This window comes from Homo sapiens, chromosome 6 (assembly GCF_000001405.40).
Source record: "Homo sapiens chromosome 6, GRCh38.p14 Primary Assembly".
Taxonomy (NCBI): Eukaryota; Metazoa; Chordata; class Mammalia; order Primates; family Hominidae; genus Homo; species Homo sapiens.
Genome location: NC_000006.12, coordinates 6,094,048 through 6,118,921, shown reverse-complemented (window position 1 = coordinate 6,118,921; position 24,874 = coordinate 6,094,048).

Sequence of the window (24,874 nt, the reverse complement as noted above, 5' to 3'; positions counted from 1 at the left end):
CTATTTGTACTGTGATCTTTCCTTATGAAATATATAAGAAATAATTTTCTTCAACTTTCTTTAGTAAAAGACAGTTTGGTTTTTAAAATTATGACCCCAAACATGTTTACAAAGAATCAATTATCACAGTCAATGAATTATTAAAAGTTCTCTCTCAGATACATATTTTAATGATAAAAGTTAAATTTTCAAACTATTATGAAATCTTGATTAGCCTACTACAAAACCCCAAGACACATAATCATCAGATTCTCCAAGGTCAAATGAAGGTAAAAATGTTAAGGGCAGCCAGACAGAAAGGTCAGATCACCTACAAAGGGAAGCCCACCACACTAACAGCAGACCTCTCAGCAGAAACCCTATAAACCAGAAGACAGTGGGAGCCAACATTCAACATTCTTAAAGAAAATAATTTGCAACCCAGAATTTCATATTCAGCCACATTAAGCTTCATAAGTGAAGGAGATATAAAATCCTTCCCAGACAAGCAAATGCTAAGGGATTTTATCACCACCAGGCCTGCTTAGCAAGAGCTCCTGAAGAAAGCATGAAATATGGAAAGGAAAAACCAGTACCAGCCACTGCAAAAACACACCAAACTATAAAGACCAATGGCACTATGAAGAAACAGCTTCAACTAGTGTGCAAAATAACCAGCTAGCATCATGATGACAGGGTCATATTCACACATAAAAATATTAACCTTAAATGTAAATGGGCTAAATGCCTTAAATTAAAAGACACATATTGGCAAACTGAATAGAGTCAAGACCTATCAGTGTGCTGTGTTCAGGAGACCCATCTCACATGCAAAGACACACATAGACTCAAAATAAATGGATGGAGAAATATTTACCAAGCAAATGGAAGACAAAAAAAGAGCAGGGGTTGCAATCCTAGCATCTGATAAAACAGACTTTAAACCAACAAAAATAAAAAAAAGACAAAGAAGGGCATTAAATAATGGTAAAAGGATCAATGCAACAAGAAGAGTTAGCTATCCTATATATATATGCACTCAATACAGGAGCATGCAGATGCCTAAGACAAGTTCTTAGGGACCTATACAGAGACTTAGACTTCCACACAATAATAGTGGGAGACTTTAACACCCCATTGTCAATATTAGACAGATCAACAAGACAGAAAATTAACAAAGATATTTACAACTTGAACTCGGCTATGGATCAAACGGACATAATAGACATCTACAGAACTTTTCGTCCCAATTCAACAGAATATACATTTTTCTCAGGGCCACATGGCACTTATTCTAAAATCAGACACATAACTGGAAGTAAAACACTCCTCAGCAAATGCAAAAGAACTAAAATCATAACAAACAGTCTCTCAGACCACAGTGCAATCAAATTAGAACTCAGGATTAAGAAACTCACTCAAAACCACACAACTACATGGAAATTGAACAACCTGCTTATGAATGACTCCTAGGTAAATAAAAAAATTGAGGCAGAAATCAAGAAGTTCTTTGAAACCAATGAGAACAAAGAGACAACATAGCAGAATTTCTGGGACACAGGTAAAGCAGTGTTAAGAGGGAAATTTATAGTACTAAATGCCCACAAGAAAAAGCAGGAAAGATCTCAAACTGACACCCTAACATCATAATTTAAAAAACTAGAGAAGCAAGAGCAAACAAATTTAAAAGCTAGCAGAAGACAAGAAATAACTAAGATCAGAGCAGAACTGAAAGAAACAGACACACACACACACACACAAACCCTTCAAAAAATTAATGAATCCAGGAGCTGATTTTGTGAAAAAATTAGCAAAATAGACTGCTAGCCAGACTAATAAAGAAGGAAAAAGAGAAGAATCAAATAGACACAATAAAAAATGATAACGGGGGTATCACCACTGATCCCACAGAAATACAAACTACCATCAGAAAATACTATAAATACCTCTATGCAAATAAACTAGAAAATCTACAAGAAATGGATAAATTACGACACACTAGACACTAGACCACTGTATAAGTCCCTAAGAACACTCTCCCAAGATTAAGCAGGAAGAAGCTGAATCTCTCAATAGACCAATAACAAGTTCCAAAATTGAGGCAGTAATTAATAGCCTACCAACCAAAAAAAGCCCAGGACCAGATGAATTCTACCAGAGGTACAAAGAGGAGCTGGTACCATTCCTTTGGAAACTATTCCAAACAATTGAAAAGGAGGGACTCTTCCCTAACTCATTCTATGAAGCCAGCATCATCGTGATACCAAAACCTGGCAGAGACACAACAAAGAAAGAAAACTTCAGGCCAATATCCCTGATGAACATCGATATGGAAATCCTCAATGAAATACTGGCAAATCAAATCCAGCAGCACATCAAAAAGTTTACCCACCATGAAAAATTCGGCTTCATCCCTGGGATGCAAGGCTGGTTCAGCATACACAAATCAATAAGTGTAATCCATCACATAAACAGAAACAATGACAAAAACCACATGATTATCTCAACAGATGCAGAAAATGCCTTTGATAAAATTCAACATACCTTCATTGTAAAAACTATAAATAAACTAGGCATTAATGGAACTTATCTCAAAATAATAAGAGCTATTTAGCAGAAACCCATTGCCAATATCATACTGAATGGGCAAAAGCTGGAAGCATTCCCTTTGAAAACTGGCAAAAGACAAAGATGCCCTCTCACACCACTCCTATTCACCATAGTATTGGAAGTTCTGGCCAGAGCAATCAGGCAAAAGAAAGAAATAAAGCATATTCAAATAGGAAGAGAGAAAGTCAAATTGTTTCTGTTTGCAGATGACATGATTCTGTATTTAGAAAACCCCATTGTCTTAGCCCCAAAACTGCTTAAGCTGATAAGAAACTTCAGCAAATCTCAGAATACAAAATCAATGTGCAAAAATCACAAGCTTTTCTATACACCAACAATAAACAAGCAGAGAGCCAAATCATGAGTGAACTCCCATTCACAATTGCTACAAAAAGAATAAAATACCTAGGAATACAGCTTACTAGGGATGTGGAAGACTTCTTCAAAGAGAACTACAAACTACTACTCAAAGAAATAAGAGAGGACACAAACAAATGGAAAAACATTCCATGCTCACGGATAGGAAGAATCAATATTGTGAAAATGGCAATACTGCCCAAAGTAATTTATAGATTCAATGCTATTCCCATCAAACTACCATTGACTTTCTTCACAGAATTAGAAAAAACTACTTTAAATTTAATAAGGAACTAAAAAAGAGCCCGTATAGCCAAGACAATCCCAAGCCAAAAGAATAAAGCTGGAGGTATCATGCTACCTGACTTCAAACTATACTACAAGGCTGAAATAACCAAAACAGCATGGTATTGGTATCAAAATAGACATATAGACAAATGGAACAGAACAGAGACCTCAGAAATAACACCACATATCTACAACCATCTGACCTTTGACAAACCTGACAAAAACAAGCAATAGAGAAAAGATGCCCTATCTAATAAATGGTGCTGGGAAAACTGGCTAGCCATATGCAGAAAACTGAAACTGGACCCCTTCCTTACACCTTATACAAAAATTAACTCAAGATGGATTAAAGACTTAAACATAAGATCTAAAACCATAAAAACTCTAGAAGAAAACCTAGGCAATACCATTCAGGACATAGGCATGCACAAAGACTTCATGATGAAAACACCAAAAGCCACAATTGACAAATGGGACCTACTTAAACTAAAGAGCTTCTGCACAGCAAAAGAAACTAGCATCAGAATGAACAGGTAACCTACAAAATGGGTGATAATTTTTGCAATCTATCCATCTGACAAAGGGCTAATATCCAGAATCTACATGGAACTTAAACAAAGTTATAAGAATAAAACAACCCCATCAAAAAATAGGTGAAGATTATGAACAGACACTTCTCATAAAAAGGCATTTATGTGGCCAACAAATATATGAAGAAAAGCTAATCATCACTAGTCATTAGAGAAATGCAAATCAAAACCACAATGAGACACCATCTCATGCCAGTTAAAATGGCAATCATTAAAAAGTCAGGAAACAACAGATGCTGGAGGGGATGCGAAGAAATAGGAACGTTTTTACACTGTTGGTGGGAGTGTTAATTAGTTCAACCATTGTGTAAGACAGTGTGGCAATTCCTCAAGGATCTAGAGCCAGAAATATCATTTGACCCAGCAATCCCACCATTGGGTATATACCCAAAGGATTATAAATTATTCTACTATAAAGACACACACAAACGTATGCTTATTGCAGCCCTGTTCACAATAGCAAAGACGTGGAACCAGCCCAAATGCCATCAATGATAGACTAAATAAAGAAAATTTGGCACAGATACACCATGGAATACTATGCAGCCATAAAAAAGGATAAGCTCATGTCCTTTGCAGGAACATGGATGAAGCTGGAAACCATAATTCTCAGCAAGAGAATAACACAGAAAGAGAAAAACAAACACCACATGTTCTCACTCATAAGTGGGAGTTGAACAATGAGAACACATGGACACAGGGAGGGGAACCTCACACACTGGAGCTTGTCAGGGACTGGGGAGCTAGGGAAGGGACAGCATTAGGAGAAATACCTAATGTAGGTGACGGGTTGATGGATGCAGCAAACCACCATGGCCCGTGTATACCTATGTAACAAACCTGCACGTTCTGCACATGTATCCCAGAACTTAAAGTATTAAAAAAAAAAACTATGAGAAATAAATAAATACAAATTAAAAGTTTTTTTAAGCTGAAGAGAAATGATACAGATAGAAACTTGAATGTACATGAAAGAATTAAGAGTATCACAAGTGAGCAATTATAGACTATTTTCTCATTTCCTAATTTATTTAAACATAATTGATTAAAGCAAAAAATAACTGTGCAGAATTATAGAGTTTATAACATATGTAAAATAAAAATGTATAGCAACACTAGTGTAAAGGTTGAAAAGAAAGAACACAAAAGTACAATGTTATAATAATCTCATATCATATGTGAAGTGGTATAATATTATTTGAAAGTAGACTGATAAATTAAGCCTGAATGCTAAAATTAATAGCCCAAATTTGTTAAAACCCTAATTTGAGATGGGGAAGAAAAAGAACGAAGAGCAAGGTAGTAGTCTTATATCCAGTGATACAAAAATATAAATGGACTAAATTCTCCCATTAAAAGACAGAGGTTTTCAGAATGTATAAAAAGAAAGGCTCAATTATGTGCTATTCACAGAACTTGCATATTTATATAAAGACAAGGAAATAGTAAAAATTTTAAATAACAAATGCTAAACATAAGAAGGCTGTAGGCCAGGTGTGGTGGCTCATGCCTATAATCCCAGCACTTTGGGAGGCCAAGGCGGGCAGATCACCTGAGGTTAGGAGTTCGAGACCAGTCTGGGCAATGTGATGAAACCCTGTCTCTACTAAAAATACAAAAATTAGTTGGGCCTGGTGGCACATGCCTGTATTCCAAGCTACTCAGGAGGCTGAGGCAGGAGAATCGCTTGAAGCCAGAAAGCAGAGGTTGCAGTGAGCCTAGATCGCATCACCACGCTCCAGCCTGGGCAACAAGAGTGAAACTCCGTCTTAATAAAAATAAAAAAAATAAAAATAAATAAAAAAAAAAGAAGGCTGTAGTGGCTATGTTAATATAAGATAAACAGAAAGAAAAATGTTATCTGTTATCAGATATTAAGAGATGAATAATTCATAATGATGAAAGAGTAAGTTTATCAAGGAAACAATATGCTTAATTAAATATGTATGCATTTAATACATTCACTCAAAACGCATGATGCAGAAATGGATAGAACTGAAGGAAGAAGTAGACAAATTCACAATTATATTTGGACATTTCAACACACTTCTTTTATTAATTGATAGAAGTAGATAAATAATCAGTGAAGATAAAGAAAACTTGAACAATACTATTAACCAACTTGACTTCATTGACATTTAGAGACTATTACAACCAACAAAAGTAGAATATACAGTATTTTCAAGTATTCATGGATCATTAATTAAGATATACTATATTCTAAGCCATAAAACAAGTCTCAACACGTTTAAAATAATAGACATGATACAGAGTATATTTTCTGTCCACAAGGGAATTAAACTAGAAATCAATAATATAACTTATCAGTGGTTGCCTCAAATACTTGGAAATCAAACAATGCTTTTCTAAATAACCCCAAGGTAAAAGAAGAAGCAAACAAAAAGGAAAATATTTTGAACTGCATATTAATGAAAAGGTCACATATCACAGCATCTGAGATGCAGCTAAAAAAGTGTTTAGAGAAATATTAGGTTAGTGCAAAAGCAGTTGGGGATTTTGCCATTACTTTTAATGGCACCAACCTAGTATTTACAGTTTTAAACACTTTATTATAAAAGAAAAAGTTGGAGGGCTAGAACAAGATAGCGGAATAGAAGGCTTCACCAATGGTTCCCCCCACCCTGCAAGGACATCAATTTAATATCTACACACACACACACACACACACCTTCATGAAAGTCAAAAACCAGATGAGGACTCACAATACTGGTTTTAATTTCATATTGCTGAAAGAGGCATTGAAGAGGGAGAAAAAACAGTCTTGAATTGCCAACACCACTCCTTCCCCATCCCCTGGCAGCAGTGGCATGGTGTAGAGAGTGTTCCTGTGCACCAGGGAGGGAGAGAGACTGCAGCAATTGTGAGGCATTGAACTCAGCTCAGTGGTGCCCTATTATAGCAGAAAACAAAACCAGACCAAACTCAGCTGACAGTTGCCCATGGAGGGAGCATTTAAGCCAGCTCTAGCCAGAGGGGAGTTGAGGATCCCAGCAGTCTGAACTTGAGTTCCTGCATGCCTCACCACCGTGGGCTAAAGTGCTCTGGAGCCATAGATAAACTTGAAAGGGAGTCTTGACCATAAGGACTGCAACTCCTAGGCAAGTCATAGTGCTGAAGTAGGCCCAAAGACTGTGGACTAGGGGGCCACAGGACCTACTGAGACATCAGCTGGAGTAGCTCAGGAAATGCTGGCATCTCCCCTACCCCAACCCCAGGTTGCACAGCTTGTGGATCCAGAAGAGATCTGTTTCCTCTGCTTGAGGAGAGGAGAAGGAAGAGTGTGGAGGACTTTCTCTTGCATCTTGGATACCAGCTCAGCCACAGCATGTTAGGGCACTTGTTAGAGGTGCAAGACCTCTTTTCCAGGCCCTAGCTCCCGGACATATCTAGACACACCCTGGACCAGAAGGGAACCTGCTGCTATGAAGGAAGAACCCAGTCCTGGCAGGATTCATCACTTGCTAACTGAAGAGCCCTTGGGCCCTGAATAACCAGCAGTAATACCTAGGTTACATTGAAGACCTTGGGTGAGGCTCTGAGACTTGCTGGTTTCAAGTGAGATGCAGCACATTCCCAGCTGTGATGGCTCGATGGCTGTGGAGTGAGACTCCTTCTGCTTGAGAAAAGAAGAGGGAAAAGTAAAGGGGGCTCTGTCTTGCACCTTTGGTACCAGCTCAGCCACAGTGGGATAGAGTACAAAGTGAGATATTGGGGTCCCTGATTCCAGGACTTGGCTCTTGGATGGCATTTCTGGGCCTTTCTTAGGCCAGAGTGGGGGCCACTGCTCTAAAGCGTGAGTCCCAGACAAGTCAGCATTCACCACAAGCTAACTAAAGAGCCTTTGGACCTTAAGAGAACATTGACGGTAGCCTGGCAGTACTCCCTGTGAGTCTGTGGTGGTGGTAACCTTGGGGTGAGGTTCTTCTGCCTTTGGAACACCAGACTAACTGCCAAGGTTTTTTACTGTAGTCCCTGGCTCCTGGGCAGCACTATTGGACCTGCCTAGGGCCTGAGTAACTCACCACCTGAAAGGAAGGACACAGGCCTGGCTGGCTTTGCCACCTGCTTCTTGTAGACCCCCCAGAGCCTTGAGCGAACATAGGCAGTAGCCAGGGAGTGGTTAAAGCAGGCCTTGGGTTAGACACAGTGGTGTGTCGGCTTCAGTTCTGGCCCAGCACGGTCCTAGTAGTTGTAGCCACAGCCATGCTTGTGTCACTCTTTCAGCTCCAGGTGGCTCAGAACACAGAGAGAGAATTTGTTTCTTTGGGAGAAAGTAAATAAAGACAACAAGAATCTCTGCCTTGTAATCCAGAGAATTCTTCCAGATCTTGTCCAGGGCCATCAAGGCAGTACCTCTACAAATCTGCAGGAACCACAGCATTACTGGGCTTGTGGTGTCCCCTAAAGCAGACACAGCTCAGTGCTTTACTGCACAACATCCAAATCCTTTTGAATATCTGGAAAGCCTTCTCAAGAATGATGGGTACAAACAAGCCCAGAGTGAAAAAGGCTACAATAAACACCTAACTTTTCAATGCCCCAACACAGAAGAACATCTACAAGCATCAAAAACATCCAAGAAAACATGACCTCACCAAGTGAACTAAATAAGTCACCAGAAACCAATCCTGGAGATATGAAGATGTATGACCTTTCAGATAAAGAATTTAAAAGAGCTGCTTTGAGGAAACGCAAAGAAATTCAAGACAACACAGAAAAGCAATTCAGAATTCTGCCATACAATTTTTGAAAAGAGATTGAAATAACTATAAAGAATCAAGCAGAAATTCTAGAGCTGAAAAATGCATTTAGCAAACTGAAGAATGCATCGGAGTCTTTTGATATCAGAACTGATCAAGCAGAAGAAGGAATTAGTGAGCTTCAAGACAAGCTATTTGAAAATAACAGTTAGATGAGACAAAAGAAAAAAGAATAAAAAATAATGAAGCATTCCTAGAGATCTAGAAAATAGTCTCTAAAGGGCAAATCTAAAATTATGGCCCTTAAAAAAGGATGTAGAAAAAGAGATTGAATAGAAAGTTTATTCAAAGGGGTTATAACAAAGAACTTCCCAATCCCAGAGAAAAATATCAATATCCAAGTACAAGAAGGCTATAGAACACCAAGCAGAATTAGTCCCAAGAAAATCACCTCAAGGCATTCAATAATCAAACTCCCAAAGAGCAAGCATAAAGAAAGGATCCTAAAAGCAGCAAGAGAAAAGAAACAAATAACATACAATGGAGTTCCAATACATTAGGAAGCAGACTTTTCCATGAAAACCTTAGTGACAAGGAGAGAGTGGCATGACATATTTAAAGTGCCGAAGGAAAAAGATTTTTACCCTAGAATAGTATATCTGATCAAAATATTCTTCAAACATCAAAAAACAGACAATAAAAAAAGCTGAGGGATTTCATTAACACTAGACCTGTCCTACAAGAAGTGCTAAAAGAAGTACATCAATCAGAAAAGAAAGGATGTTAACGAGCAATAAGAAATTACATGAAGGCACAAAACTCACTGGTAATAGTAAGTACAAAAAAACACAGAATATTGTAATGTCATAACTGTGGTGTATAAACTGCTTTTAAGAAGAAAGACTAAATAATACTAAATGATAAATAACTACAACAACTCTTCAAGACACAGACAGTACAATAAGATATAAATAGAAACAACAAAAAGTTTAAAAGCAGGCAGATGAAGTTCAGGTGTAGAATATTAATTTTCTTTTTGATTTTTGCTTGTTTGTTTCTTTGTTTATGCCAACATTGTTAAGTTTGTATCAGCTTAAAATAATGGGTTATATGATAGTATTTGTAAGCTTCATGGTAACCTCAAACCAAAAAACACACAACAGATACACAAAAAATAAAAAAGCAAGAAACTAAATCATATCACCAGAGAAAATTACCCACACTAAAAGGAAGACAGGAAGGAAAGAAAGAAGGAATAGAAGACCACAAAACAACCAGAAAACAAGTAACAAAATGGCGGGAATAAGTTCTTGCTTATCAATAATAATATTGAATGTAAATGAACTAAACTCCAATCAAAAGACAGAGAGCAGTGGAAGGATAGAAAAAACAAGACCCATGATCTGTTGCCTACAAGAAACACACTTCACTTTTAAATATACACACAGACTGAAAACAAAAAGGTAGAAAAAGATATTCCATGACAATGGAAACCAAAAAAGAGCGTGAGTAGCTGTACTTACATCAGATAAAATATATTTCAAGACAAAAACTGTAAGAAGACAGAGCATCATTATATAAAAATAAAGGGGCCAATTCAGCAGGGGGATATAAAAATTTATATATTATGTATATATTCTATATATAAGATATATAATAATATATATAAATATATATAAAATATATAAATGTTTTAATTTTTTTAATATATAAAATATATAAATTTTATATTTATACAAATATAAAATTGTACATTTAATGATTTTAAATATACATTCACCCAACACTGGGGCATCCAGGTATATAAAGCAAATATTATTAGAGCTAAAGGGAGAGATAAACCCCAGTACAATAATAGCTGAAGACTTCAGCAGCACACTTTCAGAACTGGACAGATCTTCCAGACAGAAAACCACATAATATTGGACTTAATCTGCACTATAGACCAAAGGGAACTAATAGATATTTACAGAACATTTCATCCAAAGGCTGCACAATACACGTTCGTTTTCTCAGCACTTGTATTATTCTCAAGGACAGACCATATGTTAGGTCACAAAAAAAGTCTTAAAACATTAAAAAATAATTGAAATTAAATCAAGCATCTGCCCTGATGATAATGTAGTAAAACTAGAAATCAATAATAAGACCAATTTTGGAAGCTATACAAATATATGGAAATTAAACAATATACTCCTGAATGACCAGTGAGTTAACAAAGAAATTAAGAAAATTAAAATTTTTCTTAAAACAAATGATAATGATGACACAAAATATCAAAACCTATGAGATACAGCAAAAGCAGTACTAATAAGAAAGTTTGTAGCTATAAGCATCTACATCAGAAGAGAATAAAAATTTCAAATATACAACCAAACGATGCATCTTTAAGAACTAGAAAAGTAAGAGCAAACCAACCCCAAAATTAGTAGAAGAAAAGAAATAATATAGATCAGAGCAAAAATAAATGAAATTGAAATGAAGAAAGAAATATAAAACATCAATGAAACAAAAAGTTGGTTTTTTGAAAAGTTAAATAAAATTGAAAAACCTTTAGCCAGACTAAGAGAAAAAGAGAGAATATCAAAGAAGAAAAAGGACACATTACAACTGACACTACAGAAATTCAGTAGATCATTAGTGGCTACTAGGAGCAACTATAAGGCAAATAAGTTGAAAGATTTAGAAGAATGGATAAATTCCTGGACATATGCAACCTACCAAGATTCAACCACAAAAAAATCCAAAGCCTTTTTTACAAAGGTGCCATGAACATACACTGGGGAAAATACTCTTCAATAAGTGATGCTGGGAAAACTGAATATCCATATGCAGAAGAATGAAACTAGACCCCTATATCTTGCCATATACAAAAATCAAATCAAAATGGATTAAAGACTTAAATCTGAGACCTCAAACAATGAAACTACTACAAGAAAACCTTGGGGAAGCTCTCCAGGACATAGGTCTAGGCAAAAAGCAACCAAAGCAAAAATGGACAAGTGGGATTACGTCAAGTTAAAAAGCTTCAGCACAGCAAAAGATACAATTAACAAAGTGAAGAGACAACTCACAGAATGGGAGAAAATATTTGCAAACTACCCATACGACAATGGAATAATAACCAGAATATATAAGGAGCTCAAACGACTCTATAGGACAAATTGAATAATCCAATCAAAAGATGAACTAAAAATTTGAATAGACGTTGCTCAAAAGGAGACAGACAAATGACAAACAGGCATACGGAAAGGTGCTCTTATCATTGATCATCAGGGAAATTCAAACCAAACTACAATGAGATATCATCTCACCTGAGTTAAAAGAGCTTATATCCAAAAGATAGGAAAAAACAAATGCTGGTGAGAATGTGGAGAAGAGAAAACTCTTGTACACTGGTGGGAATATAAATTAGTACAACCCTCATGGAGCACGGTTTGGAGTTTCCCCAAAAAACTAAAAACTGAGCTACTGATCCAGCAATCCTACTGCTGGGTATATATCCAAAAGAAAGGAAATCAGTATATCAAAGATATATCTGCACTTCTATATTTGTTGCAGCACTATTTACAATACATAAGGTTTGGAAACAATCTAAGTGTACACAACACATGAATGGTTAAAGAAAATGCGGTACTTATACGCAATGGAGTCCTAGTCAGCCATAAAAAAGGATAAGATTCTGTCAAATGCAACAACATGGAAGAAACTGGAGGTCATTATGTTAAGTGAAATAAGCCAGGCACAGAAAGACAAACATTGCATGTTTTCTCTTATTTCTGGGTCCCAAAAATCAAAACAACTGAACTCAGGGACATAGAGAGTAGAATAATGGTTACCAGAAGGTGGAAAGGATAGTAGGAGAGTGGGGAGAAAGTGAGGATTGTTAATGGATACCAAAAAAATAGAAAGAATGAATAAGACCTAGTATTTAATAGCGCAACAGGGTGACTATAGTCTATAATAATTTAATCTTACATTGTAAAATAACTAAAAGAGTATGAATGGACTTTTTGTATCAAAAAATGCTGAGGAAATGGATACCTCATTTTACATGATGTGATTATTATGCATTGCTTGCCTGTACAAAACATCTCATGTACCACAAAATTATATACACCTAGTATGTACTCACAAAAATTAAAACAAAAAAATTTTAAATAGTCTTAAATTATCTAAACTTCAACCTTACTAAGCTGTAAAAAAGACTACATCTAAAGTACGAAGAGGAAGGAAACAATAAAGATCAGAAACTAAATTAAGAGGCAGTGGCCAAGATGGCTGACTAGAAGCCCCTAGTGTGTGCCACTTTCACAGAGAGAAATAGAAGGGGCAAGTAAATACAGCACCTTTAAATTAAACACTCAGGTACATGCATTGCATTTGGGCTTCATCAAGAAAACAACTTAACCCATGGAGAAAGGAGTAAAGCAAGGCAGAACAATTGCCCAACTGGGAGTAACACAGAGCTAGGGGAGACTCCCCACCCCAGAGCAACAGTCCCAGTCCTCACTTCTCCAACCTGGGACTCCAGCACAACCACCCTGCCCCCTACTGACCACTTCAATCAGAGGCAGCCCAACAGTTAAAGGAACACTTACAAACAGAGATGAGAAAGAATCAATATAACTCTAGCAACTCAAATGGCCACACTGTCTTATGTATCTAAATGACTGCACTAGTTCTACAACAAGGTTTCTTAACCAGGCTGAGTTGGCTGAAATGAAAGAAATAGAATTTAGAATATGGACAGGGACAAAGATTATCAAGATTTAGGAGAATGGGAAAACCCAATCTAAGGAAACCAAGAATCACAATAAAATTATATGGGAGCTAACAGACAAAATGGCCAGTATACAAAATAACCTAATTGATCTAATAGAGCTGAAAAACAAACTACAAGGATTTTACAAAGCAATTGCAAGTATGAACAGGAGAGTAGATTAAACTTAGGAAAAATTCTCAGAAATTGAAGACTGGCTTTCTGAAATAGTCAGAAAAACAGCAAAGAAGATTTAAAAGGAATGAACAAAACTTCCAAGAAGTATGCAATTATATGAAGAAGCCAAATCTTTGAATCATTGCCATCCCTGAAAGGGACAGGGAGAAAGTAAACAACTTGGAAAACATATCTCAGGATATCATCCATGAAAACTTCTCCAGCATCAGTAGAGAGGCCAATAGTCAAATTCAGGAAACCCCTGCAAGATTCTACACAAGAAGGCCACCCTCAAGATACATAATACTCAGATTTTCCAAAGCTGAAATGGAAGAAAGAATGTTAAAGCCAGCTAGAGAGAAAGGTCAAGTTCCCAACAAAGGAAACCCCATCAGGTTAATGTTGGACCTCTCAGCAGAAACCCTACAAGCCAGAAGAGATTGGGGGCCTATATTCAACAATCTTAAAGAAAAAAATCTTCAACCAAGAATTTCATATCTAGCCAAACTGAACTTCTTCAGAGAAGTAGAAATAAGAAATTTTTCAGATAAGCAAATGCTGAGAGAGTTAATTACAACAACACCTGCCATACAAGAGATCTCAAAAGGGGCACTAAATGTAGAAAGACTTACAAGCCAATGCAAAAACACACTTAAGTACACAGGTCAGTGTAAAGCAACCACACAAACAAGCCAGCATAGTAACCAGCTAACAACACAATGACAGGAAAAAATCCACACATATCAATACTAACCTTGAATGTAAGTGGGCTAAATGCCCCATTTAAAAGGCACAGAGTAGGCCAGTCACGGTGGCTGACGCCCGTAATCCCAGCACTTTGGGAGGCTGAGGTGGGTGGATCACTTGAGATCAGGAGTTTGAGACCAGCCTGGCCAACATGATGAAACCCCTTCTATACTAAAAATATAAAAATTAGCTGGATGTGTTTGTACACGCCTGTAATCGCAGCTACTCGGGAGGCTGAGTCAGGAAAATCACTTAATCCTGGAAAGCAGAGGTTGCAGTGAGCCGAGATCGCACCACTACACTCCAGCCTGCGTGACAGACCAAGACTCCGTCTCAAAAAATAAATAAATAAAAGGCACAGAGTAGCAAGCTGTATAAATAAGCAAGACCCAATGGTATGCTGTCTTTAAGAGACAAATCTCACACACAATGACACCGATAGGTTCAAAATAAAGGAATGGAGGTACCAAGCAAATGGAAATCAGAAACAAAAGCAGGGGTTGCTGCCTAATTTCAGACAAAACAAACTTTAAATCAACAAAAATCAAAAACGACAAAAAAGGGCATTACATAATGATAAAAGGTTCAATGCAACAAGAAGAGCTAACTATCCTAAATATATACACAACCAACACGGAAGCATCCAGATTCATAAAACAAGTTCTTAGATACTTACAAAAAGACTTAGACTCCCACACAATAATAGTGGAAGACTTCAACATTCCATTGACAGTACTAGATAGACCACTGAGGTGGAAAATTAACAAAGTTGTTCAGCACCTGAACTCAACATTGAACCAAATGGATCTGATAGGCCTCCACAGAATTCTCCACTCAAATACAAAAGAATATATACATTCTTCTTATTGCTGCATGGCACATACTCTAAAATCAACCACATAATCGGATATAAAACAATCCTTAGCAAACGCAAAATAACTGAAATCATATAAAACACACTCTCAGGCCACAGCACAATAGAAATAGAAATTAAGACTAAAAAAAGTTGCTCAAAACCATGCAATTACATGAAAATTAAAGAACCTCCTTCTGAATGACTTTTGGTTAAATAATGAAATTAAGGTAGGAATCAAAAAGTTTTTTGCAACTAATAAGAACAAAGATACAGTATACCAGAATCTCTGGGATACAGCTAAAGCAGTGGTAAGGAGGAAAATTTGTAGCACTAAATGCCCACATCAAAAAGTTAGAAAGATTTCAAATTAACAACCTAACATCACAACTAGAAAAATTAAAGAAGCAAGAGCAATCCAACTCCAAAACTTGCAGAAGACAAGAAATAACCAAAATCAGAACTGAGGGAGATTGGGACATGAAGAAACCACTGAAAAGATCAACAAATTTAGCAGTTTGTTTTTTGAAAACATTAATAAGATAGATAGGCCACTAGCTACATTAACAAAGAAGAAAAGAGAGAAGATCCAAATAACTGCAAGAAGAAATGACTAAGGAGATGTTCTCACTGACCCTACAGAAATACAAATAACCATCAGAGACTTCTATGAACAGCTCTATGCACACAAACTAGAAAACCTGGAAGAGATGGATAAATTTCTGGGCACATACACCCTTCCAAGACTGAATGAGGCAGAATTGATTTCCTGAACATACCAGTAATGAACCCTGAAATTGAATCAGTAATAAATATCCTCCCAATCAAAAAAAAAAAAAAAAAAGTCGAGGACCAGATGCATTCACAGCTGAATTCTTCCAGACGTACAAAGAAGAGTTGGTACAATTCCTGCTGAAACTATTACAAAAATTGAGGTGGAAGAACTCCTCCCCAACTTATTCTATGAGGCCAGCATCATCCTGATATCAAAACTTGGCAGAAACACAACAAAAAAAGAAAACTTTGGTCCAATATCGTTGATGAACATTTATGCATAAATCTTCACCAAAATATTTGCAAACCAAATCCAGCAGCACCTCAACAAGCTAATCCGCCATGATCAAGTAGGCTTTATCCCTTAGATGCAAGGTTGGTTCAACATGAGCAAATCAATAAGTGTGATTCATCACATAAACAGAACTAAAGACAAATATCACATAATTATCTCAATAGATGCAGAAATGCTTTTGATAAAATTCAACATCCTTTCATGTTAAAAACTCTCAATAAACTAGATATTGATGGAACATAACTCAAAATAAGAAGAGTTATCTATTGCAGAGCCAACATTATACTAAATGGGCAAAAGCTAGAATAATTTCCATTGAAAACTGGCACAAGACAAGGATACCTTCTCTCACCTCTCCTATTCAACATAGTATTGGAAGTCCTGGCCAGAGCAATCAGGCAAGAGAAAGAAATAAAGGCACCCAAACAGGAAGAGAGGAAATCAAACTATCTCTGTTTGCAGATGACATGATTTTATATCTAGAAAACCCATAGTCTCAGCTGAAAAGCTCCTTGAGCTAATGAACAACCTCAGCAAAGTTTCAGGATACAAAATCAACATACCCAAATCGCTAGCATTTCTACACACCAAAAACAGCCAAGCCCAAGAGCCAAATTAGGAATGCAGTCCCATTCACAACTGCCATGAAAAGAATAAAGTACCTAGGAATACAGCTAATCATGGAGGTGAAAGATCTTGACAATGAGAACTATAAAACATCCACCATGATCAAGTGGGCTTCATCCCTGGGATGCAAGGCTGGTTCAACATACACAAATCAATAAATGTAATCCAGCATATAAACAGAACCAAAGACAAAAACCACATGATTATCTCAATAGATGCAGAAAAGGTCTTTGACAAAATTCAACAACCCTTCATGCTAAAAACTCTCAATATATTAAGTATTGATGGGACATATCTCAAAATAATAAGAGCTATCTATGACAAACCCACAGCCAATATCATACTGAATGGGCAAAAACTGGAAGCATTCCCTTTGAAAACTGGCACAAGACAGGGATGCCCTCTGTCACCACCTCTATTCAACATAGTGTTGGAAGTTCTGGCCAGGGCAATTAGGCAGGAGAAGGAAATAAAGGGTATTCAATTAGGAAAAGAGGAAGTCAAATTGTCCCTGTTTGCAGATGACATGACTGTATATCTAGAAAACCCCATTGTGGCAGCCCAAAATCTCCTTAAGCTGATAAGCAACTTCAGCAAAGTCTCAGGATACAAAATCAATGTACAAAAATCACAAGCATTCTTATACACCAATAACAGACAAACAGAGAGCCAAATCATGAGTGAATTCCCATTCACAATTGCTTCAAAGACAATAAAATACCTAGGAATCCAACTTACAAGGGATGTGAAGGACCTCTTCAAGGAGAACTACAAACCACTGCTCAAAGAAATAAAAGAGGATACAAACAAATGGAAGAACATTCCATGCTCATGGGTAGGAAGAAGCAATATCGTGAAAATGGCCATACTGCCCAAGGTAATTTATAGATTCAATGCCATCCCCATCAAGCTACCAGTGACTTTCTTCACAGAATTGGAAAAAACTACTTTAAAGTTCATATGGAACCAAAAAAGAGCCCGCATCACCAAGTCAATCCTAAGCCAAAAGAACAAAGCCGGAGACATCACGCTACCTGACTTCAAACTATACTACAAGGCTACAGTAACCAAAACAGCATGGCACTGGTACCAAAACAGAGATATAGAACAATGGAACAGAACAGAGCCCCCAGAAATAATGCCACATATCTACAACCATCTGATCTTTGACAAACCTGAGAAAAACAAGCAATGGGGAAAGGATTCCCTATTTAATAAATGGTACTGGGAAAACTGGCTAGCCATAGGTAGAAAGCTGAAACTGGATCCCTTCCTTACACCTTATACAAAAATTAATTCAAGGTGGATTAAAGACTTACATGTTAGACCTAAAACCATAAAAACCCTAGAAGAAAACCTAGGCATTACCATTCAGGACATAGGCATGGGCAAGGACTTCATGTCTAAAACACCAAAAGCAATGGCAACAAAAGCCAAAATTGACAAATGGGATCTAATTAAACTCAAGAGCTTCTGCACAGCAAAAGAAACTACCATCAGAGTGAACAGGCAACCTACAAAATGGGAGAAAATTTTCACAATCTACTCATCTGACAAAGGGCTAATATCCAGAATCTACAATGAACTCAAACAAATTTACAAGAAAAAAACAAATGACCCCATCAAAAAGTGGGCGAAGGATATGAACAGACACTTCTCAAAAGAAGACATTTATGCAGCCAAAAAACACATGAAAAAATGCTCATCATCACTGGCCATCAGAGAAATGCAAATCAAAACCACAATGAGATACCATCTCACACCAGTTAGAATGGCAATCATTAAAAAGTCAGGCAACAACCAGTGCTGGAGAGGATGTGGAGAAATAGGAACACTTTTACACTGTTGGTGGGACTGTAAACTAGTTCAACCCTTGTGGAATTCAGTGTGGTGATTCCTCAGGGATCTAGAACTGAAATACCATTTGACCCAGCCATCCCATTACTGGGTATATACCCAAAGGATATAAATAATGCTGCTATAAAGACACATGCACACGTATGTTTATTGCAGCACTATTCACAATAGCAAAGACTTGGAACCAACCCAAATGTCCAACAATGATAGACTGGATTAAGAAAATGTGGCACATATACACCATGGAATACTATGCAGCCAGAAAAAATGAAGAGTTCATTTCCTTTGTAGGGACATGGATGAAACTGGAAACCATCATTCTCAGAAAACTATGGCAAGGAGGAAAAACCAAACACCGCATGTTCTCACTCATAGGTGGGAATTGAACAATGAGAACACATGGACACAGGAAGGGGAACATCACACTCCGGGGACTGTTGTGGGGTGGGGGGATGGGGGAGGGATAGCATTAGGAGATATACCTAATGCTAAATGACGAGTTAATGGGTGCAGCACACCAACATGGCACATGTATACATATGTAACAAACCTGCACATTGCGCACATGTACCCTAAAACTTAAAGTATAATAATAATAATAATAATAATAATAATAATAAACTTTGCTCAAATTAATCAGGGAAGACACAAATGGAAAAGCATTCCATGCTCGTGGATAGAAAGAATCAATATTGTTAAAATTGTTTAAATGGCCATACTTCCTAAAGCAATTTACAGATTAATTGCTATTCCTATCAAACTACTGATGACATAGTTTTTTTTTTTTGAGGAGGAGTCTCGTTCTGTCACCCACGCTGGAGTGCAGTGGCATGATCTCAGTTCACTGCTACCTCTGCCAGCCCGGTTCAAGCGATTCTCCTGCCTCAGCCTCCCAAGTAGCTGGGATTACAGGCACCTGCCATCATGCCTGGCTAATTTTTGTATTTTTAGTAGAGAAGGGGTTTCACCATGCTGGCCAGCTTGGTCCAAACTCCTGACCTTGGGTGATCTGCCCAGTTTGGCCTCCCAAAATGCTGTGATTACAAGCATGAGCCACTGTGCCCGGCCCCAGTGACGTTCTTCACAGATCTAGAAAAACTATTTTCAAATTCATGTGAAACAAAAAAAGGGCTCTAATAAATAAGGCAATCCTAAGCAAGAGGAATAAACCTGGCGGCATCACATTACCTGACTTCAAACTATATTACAGGGTACAGTAACCAAATCAGTGTGGTACTGGTACAAAAACAGACACATAGACCAATGGAACAGAATAGAGAGCCCAGAAATAAGGCTGCACTCCTACGACCATCTGGTCTTCCACAAAGATGACAAAAACAAGCAGCGAGTAAAGGACTTCCTATTTCATAAGTGGTGCTGGGAAAACTGGCTAGCTATACGCAGACAATGGAAACTAGAACCCTTCCTTATACCATATACAAACATCAACTAAAGACGGATTAAGGATAATATTAAAAATTATGAAATCCCTGGAAGACAACCTAGGCAATACTATTTTGGACATAGGAACTAGGAAAGATTTCAGGACAAAAACACCAAAAGCAATCGCAACAAAAGCAAAAATTGATAAATGGGATCTAATTCAAATTAGGAGCTTCTGCATAGCAAAAGAAACTATAAACAGAGTAAACAGAAAACCTACAGAATGGGAGAAAATATTTGCAGACTATGCATCTGACAAAAGTCTAATATCCAGCATCTATAAGGAACTTAAATGAATTTACAAGAAAAAAAGCAACCTCACTAAAAAGTGGACAAAGGACATGAACGGGCACTTTTCAAAAGTAAACATATACATGGCCAATAAGCATATGAAAAAAGGCTCAATATCACTGATAATTAGAGAAATGTACATCAAAACCACAATGAAATGTCATCTCACACCAGTCAGAATGACTATTATTAAAAAAAAACAAACAGGTGGTGGAAAGGCTATGGAAAAAAAAAGAATGCTTACCTACTGTTGACGGGAGTGTAAATTAGTTCAACCATTGTGGAAAGCAGTGTGGCAATTCCTCAAAGAGCTAAAAACAGAAATAGCATTCAACTCAGCAATCCTATAACTGGGTATGTACCCAAAGAAATATGAATCATTCTGCCACAAAGACACATGCATGCATGTATTCATTGCATCACTATTCACAATAGCAAAGATGTGGACTCAATCTAAATGCCAATCAATGGTAGACTAGATAAAGAAAATATGGTACATATAAACTGTGGAATACTACACAGCCATAAAAAAGAATAAATTTATGTCCTTTGCAGGAGTATGGATGAAGCTGGAGGCCATCATTCTTAGCAAACTAATGCATGAAAAAAAAACCCAAATACCACGTGTTCTCACTTATAAGTGGGAGCTAAATGATGAGAACACATGAACACAAAGACAGAAACAATAGTCATTGGGGCCTACTTGAGGGTGGAAGGTGAGAGGAGGGAGAAGAACAGAAAAAAACAACTATTGGGTACTAGATTTAGTACATGGGTGATGAAATAATCTGTACAACAAACGCCCATGACACGAGTTTACTTGTATAACAAACCTGCATGTCTAACCCTGAATCTAAAATAAAAGTTAAAGAAAAAAAAATTAAATAGCAAATAGACAATGTTTTAAAATCAAAATATCATATGATGATTCTCAGAGAATACTAATAAAATTGATAAATCCTTACTAGATTGGTCAAAGAAAAGGGAGAGAAGTCACAAATTATTAATAACAGAAAAGAAAATGGAGACATAACTATAGATCTTACAGATAAAGGAAAATAAAGAAGCGGGGAAAACAACTTCATGACAAAAAATTTAACAACTTATATGAAATGAACAAATACATTGAAAAACACAAATTACCAAACTGACTTGAGAAGAAACAAAATCTAAATAACCCTATATTTTCTCAAAAACTTTAATTTGTAAGTAAGCCTTTTCAAACACACACAAATAAATCCAGACCATTGACTTTACCAATAAATTTCATCAAACATTCACAAATTCTACACAAACTTTTTTAGAAAACATAGTAAAATAGAATACTTCTCAACATATTTTATGAGGCCAGCAATAGCCTGATATGAAAACCAGACAAAGAAATTTTTAAAAATAAAATTGTAGACCAATATCCCTCATAAATATAGACACAAAAATCCTTAACAAAATATTAGTAAATCAAATCCAGAAATATACAAAGAAGGTAATATATCACAACTAAGTAGAGTTTTTTTAAGGAATGCAAATTTGCTTTAACATTTGGGAATCAATCAATGTGCAAATCTACACATTAATATAATTAAGGAGAAACAACAAATGATGGCGGGTTGCAGTGGCTCACGCCTGTAATGCCAGCACGTTGGGAGGCCAAAGTGGGCAGATCACCTGAGGTCGGGAGTTCGAGACCAGCCCGACCAAAATGGAGAAACCCTGTCTCTACTAAAACTACAAAATTAGCCGGGCATGGTGGCAGGTGCCTGTAATCCCAGCTACTTGGGAGGCTGACACAGGAGAATCGCTTGAACCTGGGAGGCGGAGTTTGCAGTGAACTGTGATCGTGCCATTGCACTCCAGCCTGGGCAACAAGAGCAAAACTACGTCACAAAAAAAACAAACAAACCAGAAACATATGATCATCTCGCTAAAGACAGAAAAGGCACTTGGCCAAACTAAACCCCTGGTAATATGTATATATTTTTTTAATTTGCAAAGTAGGAATGGGACAAACTTCCTCAACCTTATAAAAACTCACATGGGGCCGGGCACGGTGGCTCACGCCTGTAATCCCAGCACTTTGGGAGGCCGAGGCAGGTGGATCACGAGGTCAGGAGATCAAGACCGTCCTGGCTAACACGGTGAAACCCGTCTCTGCTAAAAATACAAAAAATTAGCCCGGCGTAGTGGCGGACACCTGTAGTCCCAGCTACTCGGGATGCTGAGGCAGGAGAACGACGTGAACCCTGGAGGCAGAGCTTGCAGTGAGCCGACATCACGCCACTGCACTCCAGTCTGGTCAACAGAGCGAGACTCCGTCTCAAAAACAAAAGCGAAAACAAAAAACAAAACTCATATGGAACAGAATAACTTACAATGAAAGATTAAACTCTCCCCTATTATAATTGGAAACGAAGCAAGTATATCCTCTCTTGCTGCATCTATTTAACATTGTAAATGGGGGTCCTAACTTGGGCAATAAAAAATAATAAAAGGCATATAAATTAAAACAGAAAAAGTAAAAATGCCTTTATTCATAGATGACATGACTTCCGCTTACAAAATCCCAAAGAATTTGCAAATTAAAAACCTACTAAATCTGTTAAGTGAATTTAATAAAGTCATAAGATACAAGGTCTTTATACAAAAATGAAATGTGTTTCTATACACTAGCAAGAAAATTTCTAAAATAAAATGTTTCTAAAATCTATTTACAGTCACTTTTAAGGCATAAGATAATTAAAGATAAATTTCACAAAATATAGAAAGATCTCTACACTAAAAACTATAAGACAGTATTGAGGAAAAATTAAAGACCTAAATGATGGAAAGATATACAATGTTCATGGTTTGGAAGTCTTAATATTCTTAAATCAATTCTCCTCAAGTTGATCTATATATTGAATTCAATTTCAATAAAAATTCCTTATGGGATCACATAGAAATTCACAAGCTGATGCTAAAATTTATATGGCAATGTAAAGGACTTAAAATCCACAAAACCATCTTGAAAGAAAGAACAAAGTTAGAATATATATTTATATAATCTGATTTTAAGGCTGACTATATAGCTACAGTAATCAAGATGTTGGTGTAAAGATAGGCCTATAAATCAACAGAATAAAATAAGAGAGTCCAGAAAGAGACCCACATATATATGGTAAATTAAATTTTGACCAAAGCAATTCAATGGAGAAAGAAGTTCTTTTTAATAAATGATGCTGGAACCACTAGGTATCCTTGCACGGAACAAAATGAAACTTAACTCATAACTCATAACATTTACAAAAATTAATTTGGGATGAATCATAGACCTAAACGTAAAACTTAAAACTATAAAGCTTTTAGAAAAAAAATAGGAGAATATTTGGACATTTCTCTTAGCATTCAGTATATATATATATATATATATATATATATATATATATATATATATATACACACACACATATATATGTGTATGGATATATATATATGTACACACGTATATATATTGTGTGGATATATATATATGTGGATATATACAAGCAAGAGAGGATATACTTGCTTTGTTTCCAATTATAATAGGGGAGAGTTTAATCTTTCACTATAAGTTATTCTGTTCCATATGAGTTTTGTTTTTTGTTTTTGTTTTTGTTTTTGTTTTTGAGACGGAGTCTCGCTCTGTCGACCAGACTGGAGTGCAGTGGCGCGATGTCGGCTCACTGCAAGCTCTGCCTCCAGGGTTCACGCCGTTCTCCTGCCTCAGCCTCCCGAGTAGCTGGGACTACAGGCGTCCGTGTATCGTGTATATATATATATATCGTGTATATATATATCGTGTGTGTGTGTGTATATATATATATATATATATATATATATATACCTCCTATGAACCAGCAATTCTACTTCTAGGTATTTATCCAAGAGAAATGAAAAATAAATGTACATAAAAAGTATTGTACATGAATTTCAATAGCAGCTTTCTTCATAAGAGCAATAAAACTGGGTGGGTTGGGGAAAATATTCTCAAGATAAGAATAAATAAGCAAATTGTGGTTACATTCATACAAGGAATAACCCTCAGCAATAAAAAGGAGCAAACTATTAATACATGCATATGCGACAACATGAATGAATCACGAAATCATTTTGCTGAGCAAAAAAAAGTCAGACACAATACAATTCTATTTAAATGAAATTAAAGAATAGGCAAAACTAATCTATGTTGGTATAAATCAGAAAAATTGTTGCCTCCTTGTGAGTATGGGCAAAGGCAAGGATTGACTTTGAAGGGGAAAAAGGATTTTCTCGGATAAGGAAATACTCTATTTAAAAAGTTTATTTCAATAGTTCTTGGGGTAACATTCCATATCTTGATGGATGTGTGAGCTACACAGACAGAAGTTTCTCCAGTATGAGGTAGTTTACTCACAGGCAAGCAGGAGTCAATTCTTGGATGAATAATCAATAATAGGACAAGGTTGCATGGCTGGTTTGACCATTTTGTGAACTAACATGCCAAAAACA